The 14,261-nt window shown below is 35.7% G+C and overlaps 1 protein-coding gene across 11 annotated transcripts in view, besides 1 other annotated feature; it reads right to left on the bottom strand.

The window, feature by feature from the left end:
• Positions 1-14,261, bottom strand: part of RICTOR (RPTOR independent companion of MTOR complex 2) — a 136,480-nt gene that overhangs the window by 60,266 nt on the left and 61,953 nt on the right. For all 11 annotated transcript variants that reach the window (NM_001438249.1, NM_001438049.1, NM_001438247.1 and 8 more), the window contains 2 exons: positions 5,373-5,437; positions 4,350-4,481 (listed from right to left, as the gene is read on the bottom strand). In NM_001438249.1, the coding sequence (NP_001425178.1) occupies positions 4,350-4,481; positions 5,373-5,437 (197 nt within the window). The remainder of the gene's footprint in view (positions 1-4,349; positions 4,482-5,372; positions 5,438-14,261) is intronic.
• Positions 13,680-13,886: a silencer, noted in NCBI's record as "fragment chr5:39011967-39012173 (GRCh37/hg19 assembly coordinates)". NCBI's record gives its function as "represses an EF-1alpha promoter that drives an FKBP-Casp9 reporter gene in an ReSE screen in phorbol 12-myristate 13-acetate-treated (for megakaryocytic differentiation) K562 erythroleukemia cells {active_cell/tissue: K562(+PMA)}" and the evidence as "EXISTENCE:reporter gene assay evidence [ECO:0000049][PMID:32094911]".

Below are 14,261 nucleotides of genomic sequence, written 5' to 3' on the forward strand. Positions count from 1 at the left end.
CATACTAGAATAAAACTTAACTCTCTTACAAGGCAAATAACATGATCCTGAGACAACAATTGTGTTTTTTTGTTTGTTTGGATATTTTGTTTGTTTTTGAGACAGAGCTGGTGCCTTGGCCTCCTGAGTAGCTGGGATTACAGGTGTATGCCACCATGCCTGGCTAATTTTTGTTTTCTTAATAGAGACAGAGGTTTCGCCACATTGGCCAGGCTGGTCTCAAACTCCTGGCCTCAAGTGATCTGCCCGCCTAGGCCTCCCAAAATGCTGGGATTACAGGCATGAGCCACCAAGCCCAGCCCCAACAATTTTGAATACCAATGTTCACATTCTATCAGACAATATGAGGCACGGTTTAAAACAAACAAAGGACCAAGAACCAAAAACTAAGAAAAGAAAATGGCACTACAAATAGAACACAGGTGATTCACATATTGGAGTTGTCAGAGGGGACTTCAAAGTAATTATGGTTAATATGCTAAAGAAAATAGAAGAAAAGATGAAGAAATGAAGCGGAGACCTGAAATCTTTAAATAAAACTAAAATAAGCCAGGTGCGGTGGCTCACGCCTGTAATCCTAGCATTTTGGGAGGCAGAGGCAGGCGGATTGCTGGAGCTCAGGAGTTCAAGACCAGCCTGGGCAACATGGTGCAACCCTGTCTCTACTAAAATAGAAAAAAATTAGCCAGGCGTGGTGGTGCGCACCCGCAGTCCCAGCTACTCGGGAGGCTGAGGCAGGAGAATCACTTGAACCCAGAAGAGGGAGGTTGCAGTGAGCCGAGATTGCGCCACTGCACTCCAGCTTGGGCGACAGAGCGAGACTCCATCTCAAACAAACAGGCAAAAAAAAAAAAAAAAAAAAAAAACAAACCTAAAATAAATAATAAAATCATAACTGAAATTAAGAATTCATGAGAGTCATTTACTAGCAGGATGAAAGGTTTTTAATAAACAGGTAAGTAGAAACTAAGCACACTGAAATACAAAGATTAACCACAACAAAACGTTGAAAAATACAATAATGGCATCAGAAACGTGGGACAGTGAAAAGATCCAACATGTGTATAGATGGAGTACCAATCAATAGGACAGAATATACAACAGAGAAAAAAAAAATCTTTAAAGCAGCCAGAGGTAAAAAGATATATCCCAAAGAAGCAACAAGAGAAGCTACTTATTGCTCAACTGTTAAAAGAAAAAAGAAAAAGAAATCTAGAAGACAACAACTGAAGCATTGAAAAATAAGTAACTGGTAGTGAAAACAGCCTTTGAACATGAAGGCAAAATAGAGGGATTTACAGACAAAAGATGACTAGCAGAACTTAATATATCAAGGATATATGTTCCAATCTCTAGGACAACTACTAAAAAGAAGGAAAGACTTCATAGCCAAGACACGAAAAGAGGAAAAATATTGTTATTTCAAAAGAAGCAAAAAAAAGGAGAAATACAAGAACAAAGAACATATGTGACAAATAGAATACAAATACCAAGATAGCAAACAAATTCAAGTATTAGGAAGCTAGTAATGAGACAACAAACTCATAAATACACACAAATAATTACATTAGACAAAGTCCATAAATCATGCACATAATAAACCACTAGACATAAATAGTCTAAATACTCCAATAAGAAGACAAAGTTGGTCAAACCAGATATAAAAAAAGAAAAAAACTATATGATATTTACAGGGGAGACACTTAAATGTAAAGACAAAAAAAGAAAGTAAAAGGATGGTAAAAGGTATACCATGCAACCACTAGGCAAAAGAAAGGTGGTAATGTATTATTAGATGACATGAACACTCATAAAAGAAGTATTACTAGGAATAAAGAGGGTTATTTTATAATTATAAAAGGATTAAGCCCAATAAGAAGATTTAGCAGTTCTAAACATGAAGTAACAACAAAGCTTCAAAATCTGAAACAAGAAAAAGAAAAGTCAGGAAGCATTATATGGGTGAAAAATAATTGAGTCTATAATTTTAAAACAGGCTGAAAAAGAAAACCCAGCCAGAGAGATCCATTAATGAATTATAATCATGTAGGACAAAAAAAAATACATATCTTACATATATTTTCCAGGTAATATGAAAACAAGGCCATATTTCCCTAGTTGTTTTATAAAACAAACATACATACTCCCAATACTAAAACCAGACAAAGACTTTAGATGAATGGAAAAATAATGGTCAACAACTCTCATGAACATAGGTGCAAAAATCTATAAAATATTAGCAAGGAAATTAAGTTACATATAAAGAGAACAATATATCACAAATAGTGGTGTTTATTTAAAGAATGCAAACTAGGAATATAAAGAAAATCTAGTAAAAGCTTATAGAAAGTATAAATAATGGTGAAATACTTAATGCTTTCCACCTGAGTTCAAGATCGAAACAAACTTGTCCATTATTATCATTCCTATTCAGTGCAATATTCTAACTCATGTAGTAAGGTAAGAAAAAGATAAAGATTGGAAAGGAAGATATAAAATGGACATCATCTGTAATTAATGCTTATACACATAGAAAATCCAAAGTAATCTACAAACAACCAGAACTGAAAAGTGAATTTGGCAAAACTGTTAAATAAGAGGTCAATATCTCCAACAGGTCAATATCTCCCCCCAATTTTTTTATATATTAGTAGCAAAAACAGAAAAGAATGTTTTAAATTACATTAATACTATCAGAAAAATATCTTAGAATAAACTGAATAAATATGTTCAGGACTTCTGCAAAAAACAAACAAACACACACTACTAAATACTGTTGACAGAAATCAAAGTTTCCAATAAATAAATGTTTAGAAAATTCAGTATGAAGATGTAAATTCACCCCAAATTAATCTAGAGCATCAATGCAATCCCTGCTAAAATCCCAGCAAGTTATGTGGATATGGACTATCTTATTCTAAAACTTAGATGAAAATGCAGAACCCAGATTAGTCAAAATAGTCTTGAAGAAGCAAAATTAGACTCACATTAACAGATATCAAAACATTATAGAACTGCAGTAGTTAAAACAGTTGAGAAACTGGTGCAAGGACAAATATACCAACTAAAGAGGATAGAGAACCCAACAATAGATTGCTACTGAACTACCTGATTTACAACAAAGGTGACACAAATCTAGACGTGAAACGAAAATATTTTCAATAAAAGGTGCTAATTTTATTGGATATTCATAAAGATAAAAATGAATCATGACTTGCCATCTATCTCATATCTTACACAACCATCAAATGAGATCAAATCAAGTAAGATGGTTCAAAGACTTAAACACGTATAAAGGAATAAAACCTTTAAAAGAAAACACAGATCTCTTCCAAATAGACAAAAAGCATTCTGGATTTCACTAATTATGAACTTTTGTTCATCAAAGACCCATTAAAAGAATGAAGAGGCAAGGCAAAGGCAAGGCAAACTGAAACAAGACATTTTCAATACATATATCTGTAAAGACTCATATCCAGAATACATCAAGAATTCCTACATAACAAGAAAGATAATCCAATTTACAAATGAGCAAAAGATAGGCTATCCAAACTTTCAACCAGCAAATGAAAAGTGCCTAACATCATCACTCACCGGGGAACACAAGTTAAAACCACAATGAGACCCCACACAAGAAAGGATATAACTAAAAACTGAAAATAGCAAGTGTTGATGGGGACACGGGGAGACTGAAACTCCTATACATAATAGTAGAAGTATAATCAGTGCAATCATTTAGCAAACTATTTAGCAATATCTACTAAAGCTAAACATACATGTACCTTATAACCCAGAAATTCTAGTTCTACATATACCTAAGAGAAATGAGTGCATTTCCTCTTCTATAAGAATATTCTTGCAGCCTTCTACAAGAACATTCAGGGCAGCTTTATTCCAAATAGTCAAACACTGAAAACAACCCAGAAAAGCTTCAACAGAATGGAATAAATTGTGGTCTATTTATAAAATGAAATGTTACACAGCAAAAAAAAAAAAAAAAAAAATCAACATGTATGAATCTCAAAGATAATAATGAGAAGAAGAAAGAGTAATTACTGTATACGTCCAACACACAATGCTCAAGAACAGGAAAAACTAGTCTGCAATGGGAAAAGTCAGAATAATGTTTACAACTGATTGGAGATGTAACAGAGCTTTACTGGGATGCTGAAAATGTTCTAAATCTTGTTACTTGGTTGTGTGTGTGTGTGTGTGTATATATATATATATACACACACACAAAATTCATCAAAGTTACACTACAGTACAAATCTATACACTTTATGGCAGGCATGCTAAAAACTCAACACAAAATTTCAAAAATATATAAACAAGTCTAGGAAATTTACCTAGCTATTAAATAGTCCACTTTCAATTTTAGCACCTTCTGGAGAATACTGGAGTCTTGGATGAGATATCGAAGCGCTCGTAGCCCTGCTGCTCGCACTTCTTTTGCTTCATTTAATAAAGCTAACCGCAAACTGTATGAAAACAAACAAAATACAAGTTTTGCTGCACAGGTTTCAAATACACACAAAATTATATTACCAAATTATTCCTCAGCCAAAATATGCAAAAATTCTAGTCATGCACAGAATTCTAAGAGCATTCTACATATATAAAAATTACTCACTCCAAGCCACACAATTTCACTTAGTGTTGTTTTTTTAAATCTGTGCCTCCTTAGTACATTCTTACCAATCAAGAAAATGTTATTGAGTTCTTTCTTACCTTCTGTACTTTATTTTATATAAACAATGGAAACAGCCTTTGTTTTATATAAACAATGGTACAGCCTTTTTCAAGCTGTACCATTTGTGTCTCTACAATCGAATATCCTCTCTCTGCCTACCTGGTTCCATACCTCCCAAAAATCATTGGTTTAAATCAATGATAATAATAATTTATGCCAATAGCAGGCACAGACCTTTTATATCAATTTTAATTCCTAAGAGTACCTAAAAGATAGTTATAAAGCCATATAACATGCCTCTATTAGTGTGCATGGGCAAATCAAGTCTGTTGTAAGCACAAACTTTCTCTTAGGTAAGACCTAGAGTTATAGTTGTTCCTGGGAATAATATGAGAAATTTAGTCTGCAAATTTCAGATTTAATTTAAAAGTTTAAATTATAGAAGTCCAGATATTTTTGAACATTCACTTTGGTTCTTCATATTTAGTAATTAGAAAATATCACAAAGACTCACAAAAACAAAACTACTGTAGCTCTTAGATTTTTTCTAATGTTCAAGCAACTATTTCTATAAAATCAAATATGAGGTGCTGTATTATTCTATTTCTAGTTTAAAATTACTAAAATTAAAATTACTAAAATCTGAAAGGGATGGGAGGGGGGAATGAACCACACTTACCAAATTATGATATCCTCATAGTGAAAGCCCAGTTTTTCTTCACTGTGGCCAATATCACAAAGAAGCTGTCAGAAAAACAAAATAAGTGTGCATTTATGTGTTGTATATTTTCACATATTTATATACATTATATATTTACACTGGAAAATAAGGTATTTTTATGGAATAATATTTTGAAAAATATGATTTTACTGTTCAAATCAGCAGCTTTATTTGTATCATCTATTTCTCATTTGACCTGCCAGTTTTAAGTTTCTTTAATCTTTTATCTTTCCTGCCTTTTAAAAAATCATTTGTTTTCTATTATTCCATTTTCCTTCTCAATAATTTACTGTTTTAAAAATGGTTCTTTTAGTGGCTACTATTAAGATTACAACATGCATTGTTGACTTATCTAACAAAAAGTATCACTTCACAATGTCCTCAATGCCAGAATCTCACACTTTAATTTCACTTTCTCCCCTCACATTTCACTTTACAATTGTTTTTTCTATCTTTTAAAAACTATACCGTATTACTGTTAATGGGTTTTAACAGTATTTAGTCAATATCAGTTTATATTTATTCACATATTTACCCTTTTTATTATTCATCATTTTGATGGTTCCTTATTGGGATATCTTCCTTTTACCTGAAGAACTCTGTTGTTGCTGTTGACTTGTTCTGTTAGTGTTTTAATTTTAGACCAGGTTGCTGGTAATGATTTTCTTGGTTTTTATTTCTCTGGAAATAATTTTTTTTTTTACATTGAAGTTTGAAGAATATTTTGCTGGATATTTAGAAGTTTAGGTTAGCTGCTATTTTCCTCCAACAGTTTCAAGATGGCCTCCACTATTTCAGTTGTGAAGTCTGCCATCAGTCTTATTGTTGACTCTTTTGAAAGTCATGTCATTTATTTCTCAAACTCTTTTTTTTTTTTTGAGACGGAGTCTCACTCTGTCACCCAGGCTGGAGTGCAGTGGCCTGATCTGAGATCACTGCAACCTCTGCCTCCCGGGTTCAAGTGATTCTCCCGCCTCAGCCCTCCGAGTAGCTGGGATTACAGGTGCCTGCCACCACGCCCAGCTAATTTTTGTATTTTTAGTACAGACGGAGTTTCACCATGTTGGCCAGGCTGGTCTCGAACTCCTGACCTTAGGTGATCCACGATCTGCCTGCCTAAGCCTCCTGAAGTGCTGGGATTACAGGCGTGAGCCACCGCACTGGGCCTCTCAGACTCTTTTTTTTTTTTTTTTTTTTTTGAGATGGAGTTTCATTCTTGTTGCCCAGACTGGAGCGCAATGGTGCAATCTCAGCTCACCGCAACCTCCGCCTCCCACGTTCAAGCGATTCCCCTGCTTCAGCCTCCCTAGTAGCTGGGATTACAGGCATGTGCCACCACGCCCAGCTAATTTTGTATTTTTAGTAGAGACAGGGTTTCTCCATGTTGGTCAGGCTGGTCTCAAACTCCCGACCTCAGGTGATCCGCCCGCCTTGGCCTCCCAAAGTGCTGGGATTATGGGCATGAGCCACAGCGCCCGGCCTCTCACTCAGACTCTTTTAAAGACATCTTTCCTTATCTTTGGTTTCCAGCAATCTTATTACAATGTTTCTAGGTGTGGTTTCCTTTGTAGCTATCCTGCTTAGGGTAAACAAAACTTCCTAAATCTCTGGGTTGATCTACTTCTGCAGTTTTGAAAAATTCTATACAATATATTTTCAAAACTACTTCTGTCCAAACTCTCCTTCTGGTAATTCAATTAAATGTATGCCAGATCTTCTCATGTGTATCACAAATCCGTAAATCCTCTTTTTTTTTTTTTCCATTTTATCTCAATGCTTCAGTTGAATATTTTCTATAACCTGTTTTCTGATGTGTCTAATCTTCTATTACATGTATCTAATGAGTTTTTAAATGTAGATACTGTATTATTCCCTTCTTGAATTTCCATTTAATCCTTTTAGCCATTCCAATGTGCTAATGAAATTCTTCATTTCACATCAATTTTCTCCATACGTCCTCTATGTTCATGACATAGTTGTTACTGAAAATAGGTTTCATCTAATAAACCTGAATGATGTGGATCATCTCTGGATCTGTTATTAACTGTTTTCCCTTTTGTTCTAGTCATGTAATCCTGTCCTTTGGTAGCTCCTTAGTCTTTGATTGTATATAAAAACTTGCAAAGATTTGATGGTGTTATCTGTCTCCACAGAAGGTTCAGCCTTCTTTCTGTTAAACCACTAGATGGTGTTGAGTCCACGTTAGGTGGTTGCCCTGGTAAGACCAGGCCTACCTCTGCTTTTTCCCTGCCACCTGAAGTTTCAACTGAAAGCTTATTGTTAAGAAAACTAGTCCAAGGAGGATGAAAAATTTAATTTTTGTCCTGCAAACTCCATTCCTGATTTTCAAAGATTTTCTACTTAGGTTTTAAGTTTCTCATCCCAGGTAGCCCCAGGATTAAACAACTGAACTGAGGGGAGAATCTCCTCATGCTTGATGCATCTAGGTAGGACTCCACCAAAACCTCTGTGCTGTTTTTTGACTTTCGGCAACAGTATTTCTGGGCCTAATGCTTGAATCCCGTTTCCTGCCCATACTTAACATCAGCAAGTGTCCCCTGGGAAAAAGTTGTTGAAGCAGCTTATTTGTACAAGATTCTCTCTTTTCTGAAAGGTTGGTGTCTGCACTTATTGTTGCCCGAGCAGCTTCCTGCTGCCTTCAAACAGGTTTTCCTAGTTTTCATTGAGAGCGGTGGTCTAATACTACCTTTATGGATCCCACCTGGATGAATATATGCCAGTTTAATCTAGATATGAGTCTGGAGAATTGACTTTTACCTAAAAGTTACATATAATGTCCTTAATTGATTTATTGCGGCTAACTGAAATGGATTAAAGAGAAGATAAATCATTTATTTAACACTGAAGACCAAGAAGGGTCTCCAAAGTGCTAATATTCTTTCTCAGTATGAAGTTATAAACATTGTAACCATACAGTATAAAGCAACCAAAGTGATCAACATATCACATCACATCCACGAGAAGCATGGACCCTAAGAAAAAGCTGATAAAAGTTCACTACCCTATTGGTAGGATAACTGTAAAAATTTCCTGTCCAATTTTTTCTTTAGAGGAAATAAGGGGAGGGAAGGGGAAGGGAGAGGAGGGGAGAGGAGGGGAGAGGAGGGGAGAGGAGGGGAGAGGAGGGGAGAGGAGGGGAGAGGAGGGGAGAGGAGAGGAGGGGAGGGGAGGGGGTCCCAAACAGAATAGGGTAGGAGACAGGACTAGAATAGCTGCTATCAGATATTGCAACACTGCTGATATTACAATACTGGTATTCCTTAAAATTCTGATATGACGAACAAAGAGGCCTCAGACTTTCAAAGAGTATGTTTTTCTTTTGTTTTTACTGTCTTGTACAGTGTTGAAAGTAGTTACAAATTTAAGAGAATGCGTTTTTATACATACATATTTAAAATAACATAAAATTTTCTAAGTTTTGAGATAAAACTTCTATACCTCTAAAAAACCAACCATATACCTAAAATTAAAAGTGACAATGTGTTAGTAAAAAATATTTGCAACAAATATGGTAAGAAAAAGGTTAAGGCACTGTATGTAGTTTGCTAGGGCTACTATAACATATGTCACAGACTGGGTGGCTTAAACAACAGAAATGTACTTTTTCATAACTCTGGAGGCCAGAAATCTAAGATCAAGGTGTTGGCAGGGTTGTTGTTTTTTTAAAGTCTCTCTCCTTGCCTTACATATGGCTATTTTCTATATCTTCCTATGTGTATGTCTGTCTCCTAATCTACACTTTTTATAAGAGATTATATTAGATTAGGCCCACCCACCCATATGACCACATTTTTCTTTAATTATCTTTTTCAAAGGCCCTATCTCCAAATACAGTCACATTCTGAGGTATTGGAGGTTAGAAATTCAACATACGAATTTTGACGAGACACAATTCAGCTCACAGCATTCCATCCTCACCTAGCAAACTAATACAGATCCTTATAATGTAAAAGGTTGAAACAAATTGAGGAAAAACTTCTCAGGACCCCAAAGAAGAACAGGCAAAGAAAATGTACAAGGAATTTACTGAAGAAATATAATTGACAAATAAATATGACATATATTCATTTTTCCTAAAACCCAAATCAAATGAATTGCAAAGTTCTACTTACAACTCACAAAAATGGCAAAATATTGTTTTAAATATTATTGTATATTATTTTATTATTGTAAATATTTCAGAAAATAGTTTTAAATATTGTATATTACTATAATAGTTTTTAAATATATTGTAAAATATTATTTTAAATATTATTATATACTGGTAATGGGATTGAAAACTGAAAATATTTTATAAAATAAATTGGAAAAATGCACTAGGATCAAGATCCACTTTTGGAGATTTATGTATTTTAAATTATTTTACTAATATAAAGTAGGTTCAAGTACAAGATGCTTATGACATTATTTATAACATTAAAGAAATGGGAATAAAATGTTTATAAAGGAGGAACTTCATGAGGCCATTAAAATACTGTAATATACAATCATAAGAAAAATATGCAGAATCTATTGCTAAATGGGGAAAAGATTCTGTAAGACATATTTCTTAAAAACACACTTTAAAAAAAAAGGATATACATCAAAATTTTAACACCAAAAATTTTTTTAACAACAACTCCTCTGCGTTTTTGTGTATTTTATAAATGTTCACAATTAAACATGTATCACACCATCTAGGAATAGTTTTATATATAGTATTGATGAATACACACAGAAGTAACAATTATTGACTGGTAATCTTCTCAACCCTGGTAGTACTTCTGTAAATGAAAACAACTGAGGCTTAGAGAGGTTAATATGACTTCCTAAGGCCACAAAGCCTAATTAAGTGGTAAAGCTGGAAATCAGATCAAACCAGTTTGACGCCAGAGCCCACTATGAAAAATATTACTATAATTTTGTATTGAAATTATTTACACAGGGTTGGGGGTTAGGGGAAGTAAAAAACAATTGAACATTACCATCTTATTTCATTTCTCCAGCCTCAAATGTGGCATCAAGAATCTGGAGAACTGCACCCTGGCTATATATATACATAAAACAAATAAGAAAATTTAACTATTGTTTTCTCCAGAACTGCTAACTAAAAATATACCATTAAAAAAAAACTGCCCATTTCAAAGAATTAAAATATAAAAAACTGCACTTTCACTCCTTAAAATAATTTATTATTTTAAAGATTTCTCACATATTTCAGAATACTAGCATTATCACTATGTGGTACCATACATGAGTAAGAAAGAAAAATATGGTCAGCTTACAGTGTTATCATTACTTCATCCTTGGGAATATTCAAATATATATAATATAGAAAAATTAAGGTTAGAATTTGTTTATATCAACATACAAAATATTGTGCTTTCAAACTGGGAAAAAATGTTACTTTCTTAAATTATAATTTACACATATCAACTCAACTGCTTAAAAAGGGAGTATTTCCATTCCTCTGCTACAGTAATAATGAATGTTAATAAAATGAAAGGTTGTAAAATTCTACAAATATACAAAGTCTTGTCCTTTAAAAGGTTGGTTTTTCCCCTAAGTGTGTACTTGACTCTCATTTCCTGCATTATATTTTTCATACTTGCCAGTCAACCTTGTAGAAAACTATAGATTCAGAGAACACAATTTTCAAATTATCTACCTTCTCAGACGAGAAAAATATATGACCATTTATCACTTAACATTTCCTAGAGTTAGCAGTTTTAGTGAAAAAGTTAAACAAAATTCAAAGGTATTATAATCTTAAAAAACAAACACGCACCATTTAAAAAGTGTTTAGAGAGGTGTGTCATTTTCTGATTATTAATGTCAATGCATCTCAAATGCAAGAAAAGTTTTTGAGAAAGATGCTGAATCAGCTGGAAACTGGAAAATCATAAATAACTAAAAAGAACAATTATGGCAGAAACACAATATATTTGTTATTAATTAGTGCCTATTTTCCAGACATAGTAAATGGAATTCAATAATGGTTAAATTTAACCATTTAACCATTCAATAATGGTTAAATGCCTTCAGGTTGTTTCCAGGACTGTAGAAGAGGGCTTTAATCAGTCTTAAATGAAAAACCTTTTGAATTAGAATTATCCCGAGCAGTGATTAAACTTTCTATGTGTAAATAAATTCACATATATATTGGGAATAGGAAAGAAGATAGTAATAGAATTCTAAATTTTGGATTATCAAAGAAATATTATACTTTCACTGCTAATCACTAAGAATTCATATATAAATCTCAAAATATTATGAATAAGAATGACTTTGATACAAACTTCTTGTGATGACTACCTTACTAGTTATCTCCTAATTTAAATAACCAAACCCTAAAGTACACATTAAACTGTTTAGCTCTTTTTCTATGTGATATGGTTTGGCTCTGTGTCCCCACCAAAATCTCACCTTGAATTCTAATAATCCCCACGTGTCAAGGGCAGGACCAGGTGGAGATAACTGAATCATGGGAGCAGTTTCCACCATGCTCTTCATGTGAAAGTGAGTTCCATCTATGACCATATCACCCTGAACACACCCAATCTCGTCTGACAGTGAGTTCTCACGAGATCTGATGGTTTTATGAGAGGCTTCCCCCTTTTCTAGGCACTCATTTTCCCTCCTGCTGCCATGTGAAGAAGGATGTGTTTGATTCCCCTTCCGCCATGATTGTAAGTTCCCTGAGGTCTCCCCAGCCATGCAGAACTGTAAGTCAATTAAACCTCTTTCCTTTATAGATTATCCAATCTCAGGCAGTTCTTTATAGCACTGTGAGAACAGACTAACACAGTAAACTGCTACCACAGAGAGTGGGGCACTGCTGTAAAGATACACGACATGTGGAAGTGACTTTGGAACTGGGTAACAGGCAGAGGCTGGAACAGTTAGAGGGCTCAGAAGACAGAGGAAAATGTGGGAAAGCTTGGAACGTCCTATAGACCTGTTGAATGGCTTTGACCAAATTGCTGATAGTGATATGGACAATGAAGTCCAGGCTAAGATGGTCTGAGATGGAGATGAGGAACTTGTTGGGAACTGGAATAAAGGTGATACTTGCTATGCTTTAACAAAGAGACTGACAGCATTTTGCCACTGCACTAGAAATCTGTGGAACTCTGAACTTGAGAGAAATGATTTAGGGTATCTGGTGGAAAAAATTTCTAAGCAGCAAAGCATTCAAGAGGTGACTTGGGTGCTCTTTAAAACATTCAGTTTTATATATTCACAAAGATACAATCTGGAATTGGAACTTATGTTTAAAAGTGAAGCAGAGCATAAAAGTTTGGAAAATTTGCAGCCTGATGATGCAACAGAAAAGAAAAACCCATTTTCTGAGGAGAAATTCAAGCTGGCCACAGAAATTTGCATAAGTAACAAGGATCTGAATGTTAATCACCAAGACAATAGGGAAAAATGTCTCCAAGGCATGTCAGAGATCTTCATGGCAGCCCCTCCCATCACAGGCCCAGAGGCCTAGGAGGAAAAAGTGGTTTCCTGGTCAGGGCCCAGGGACTTGCTGCTTTGTGTAGTCTTTAGTGCCCTGTATCCCAGCCGTGGCTAAAAGGGGCCAAGACAGAGCTCAGGCTGTTGCTTCAGATGGTGCAAGCCCCAAGCCTTGGCAATTTACACATGGTGTTGGGCCTGTGGGTGCACAGAAGTCAAGAATTGAGGTTTGGGAACCTCCATCTAGATTTCAGACGGTGTATGAAAATGCTTGCATGTCCAGGCAGAAGTTTGCTGCAGGGGTGTAGCTCTCATGGAGAACTTCTGCTAGGACACTGTGGAAGGGAAATGTGGGGTTGGAGCCCCCACACAAAGTCCCCACTGGGTACTGCCTAGTGGAGCTGTGAGAAGAGGGCCACTATCCTCCAGACCCCAGAATGGGAGATCCACCGACAGCTTGCACTGGGCGCCTGGAAAAGCCACAGGCACTCAATTCCAGCCCATGAAAGCAGTCAGGAGGGGGTGCTGTATCCTGCAAAGCCATAGAGGTGGAGCTGCCCAAGGCTGTGGGAGCTCACTTCTTGCATCAGTGTGACCTGGATGTGACACATGGAGTCAAGGGAGATCATTTTGGAACTTGAAGGTTTAATGACTGCCATATTGGGTTTTGGACTTGCATGGGGCCTGTAGCTCTTTTGTTTTGGCCAATTTCTCCCCTTTGGAATGGGTGTATTTACCCAATGCCTGTACCCTCATTGTATCTAGGAAGTAACTAACTTGCTTTTGATTTTACAGGCTCATAGGCGGAAGGGACTTGCCTTGTCTCCAATGAAACTTTGGACTTGGACTTTTGGGTTAATGCTGGAAAGAGTTAAGACTTTGGGGGACTGTTGAAAGGGCACATTTGTGTTTTGAAATGTGAGGACATGAGATTTGGGAGGGGCCAGGGCAGAATTATAAGGTTTGGCTCTGTGTTCCCACCCAAATCTCACCTTGAATTGTAATAATCCCCATGTGTCAAGGGTGGGATCACGTGAAAATACTTGAATCATGGGGGTGATTTCCTCCATGCTGTTCTCGTGATAGCGAGTAAGTTCTCATGAGATCTGAGAGAACTCACTCACTATCACCGCTTTTATAAGGGACTTCCTTCCCCCTTAAAAAGTCCTCTGAGAGAACTATCAGTGGTTTTATAAGGAGCTGCCTTCCCCCTTCACTCAACACTCATTTATCTCTCCTGCCGCCATGTGAAGAAGGACATGTTTGCTTCCCTTTCCACCATGATTGTAAGTTTCCTTAGGTGTCCCCAGCCCTGTGGAACTGTGAGTCAATTAAACATCTTTCCTTTATAAATTACCCAGTCTCGGGCAGTTCTTTGCAGCAGTA

The sequence above is a fragment of the Homo sapiens genome, chromosome 5, assembly GCF_000001405.40.
Source record: "Homo sapiens chromosome 5, GRCh38.p14 Primary Assembly".
Classification (NCBI taxonomy): domain Eukaryota; kingdom Metazoa; phylum Chordata; class Mammalia; order Primates; family Hominidae; genus Homo; species Homo sapiens.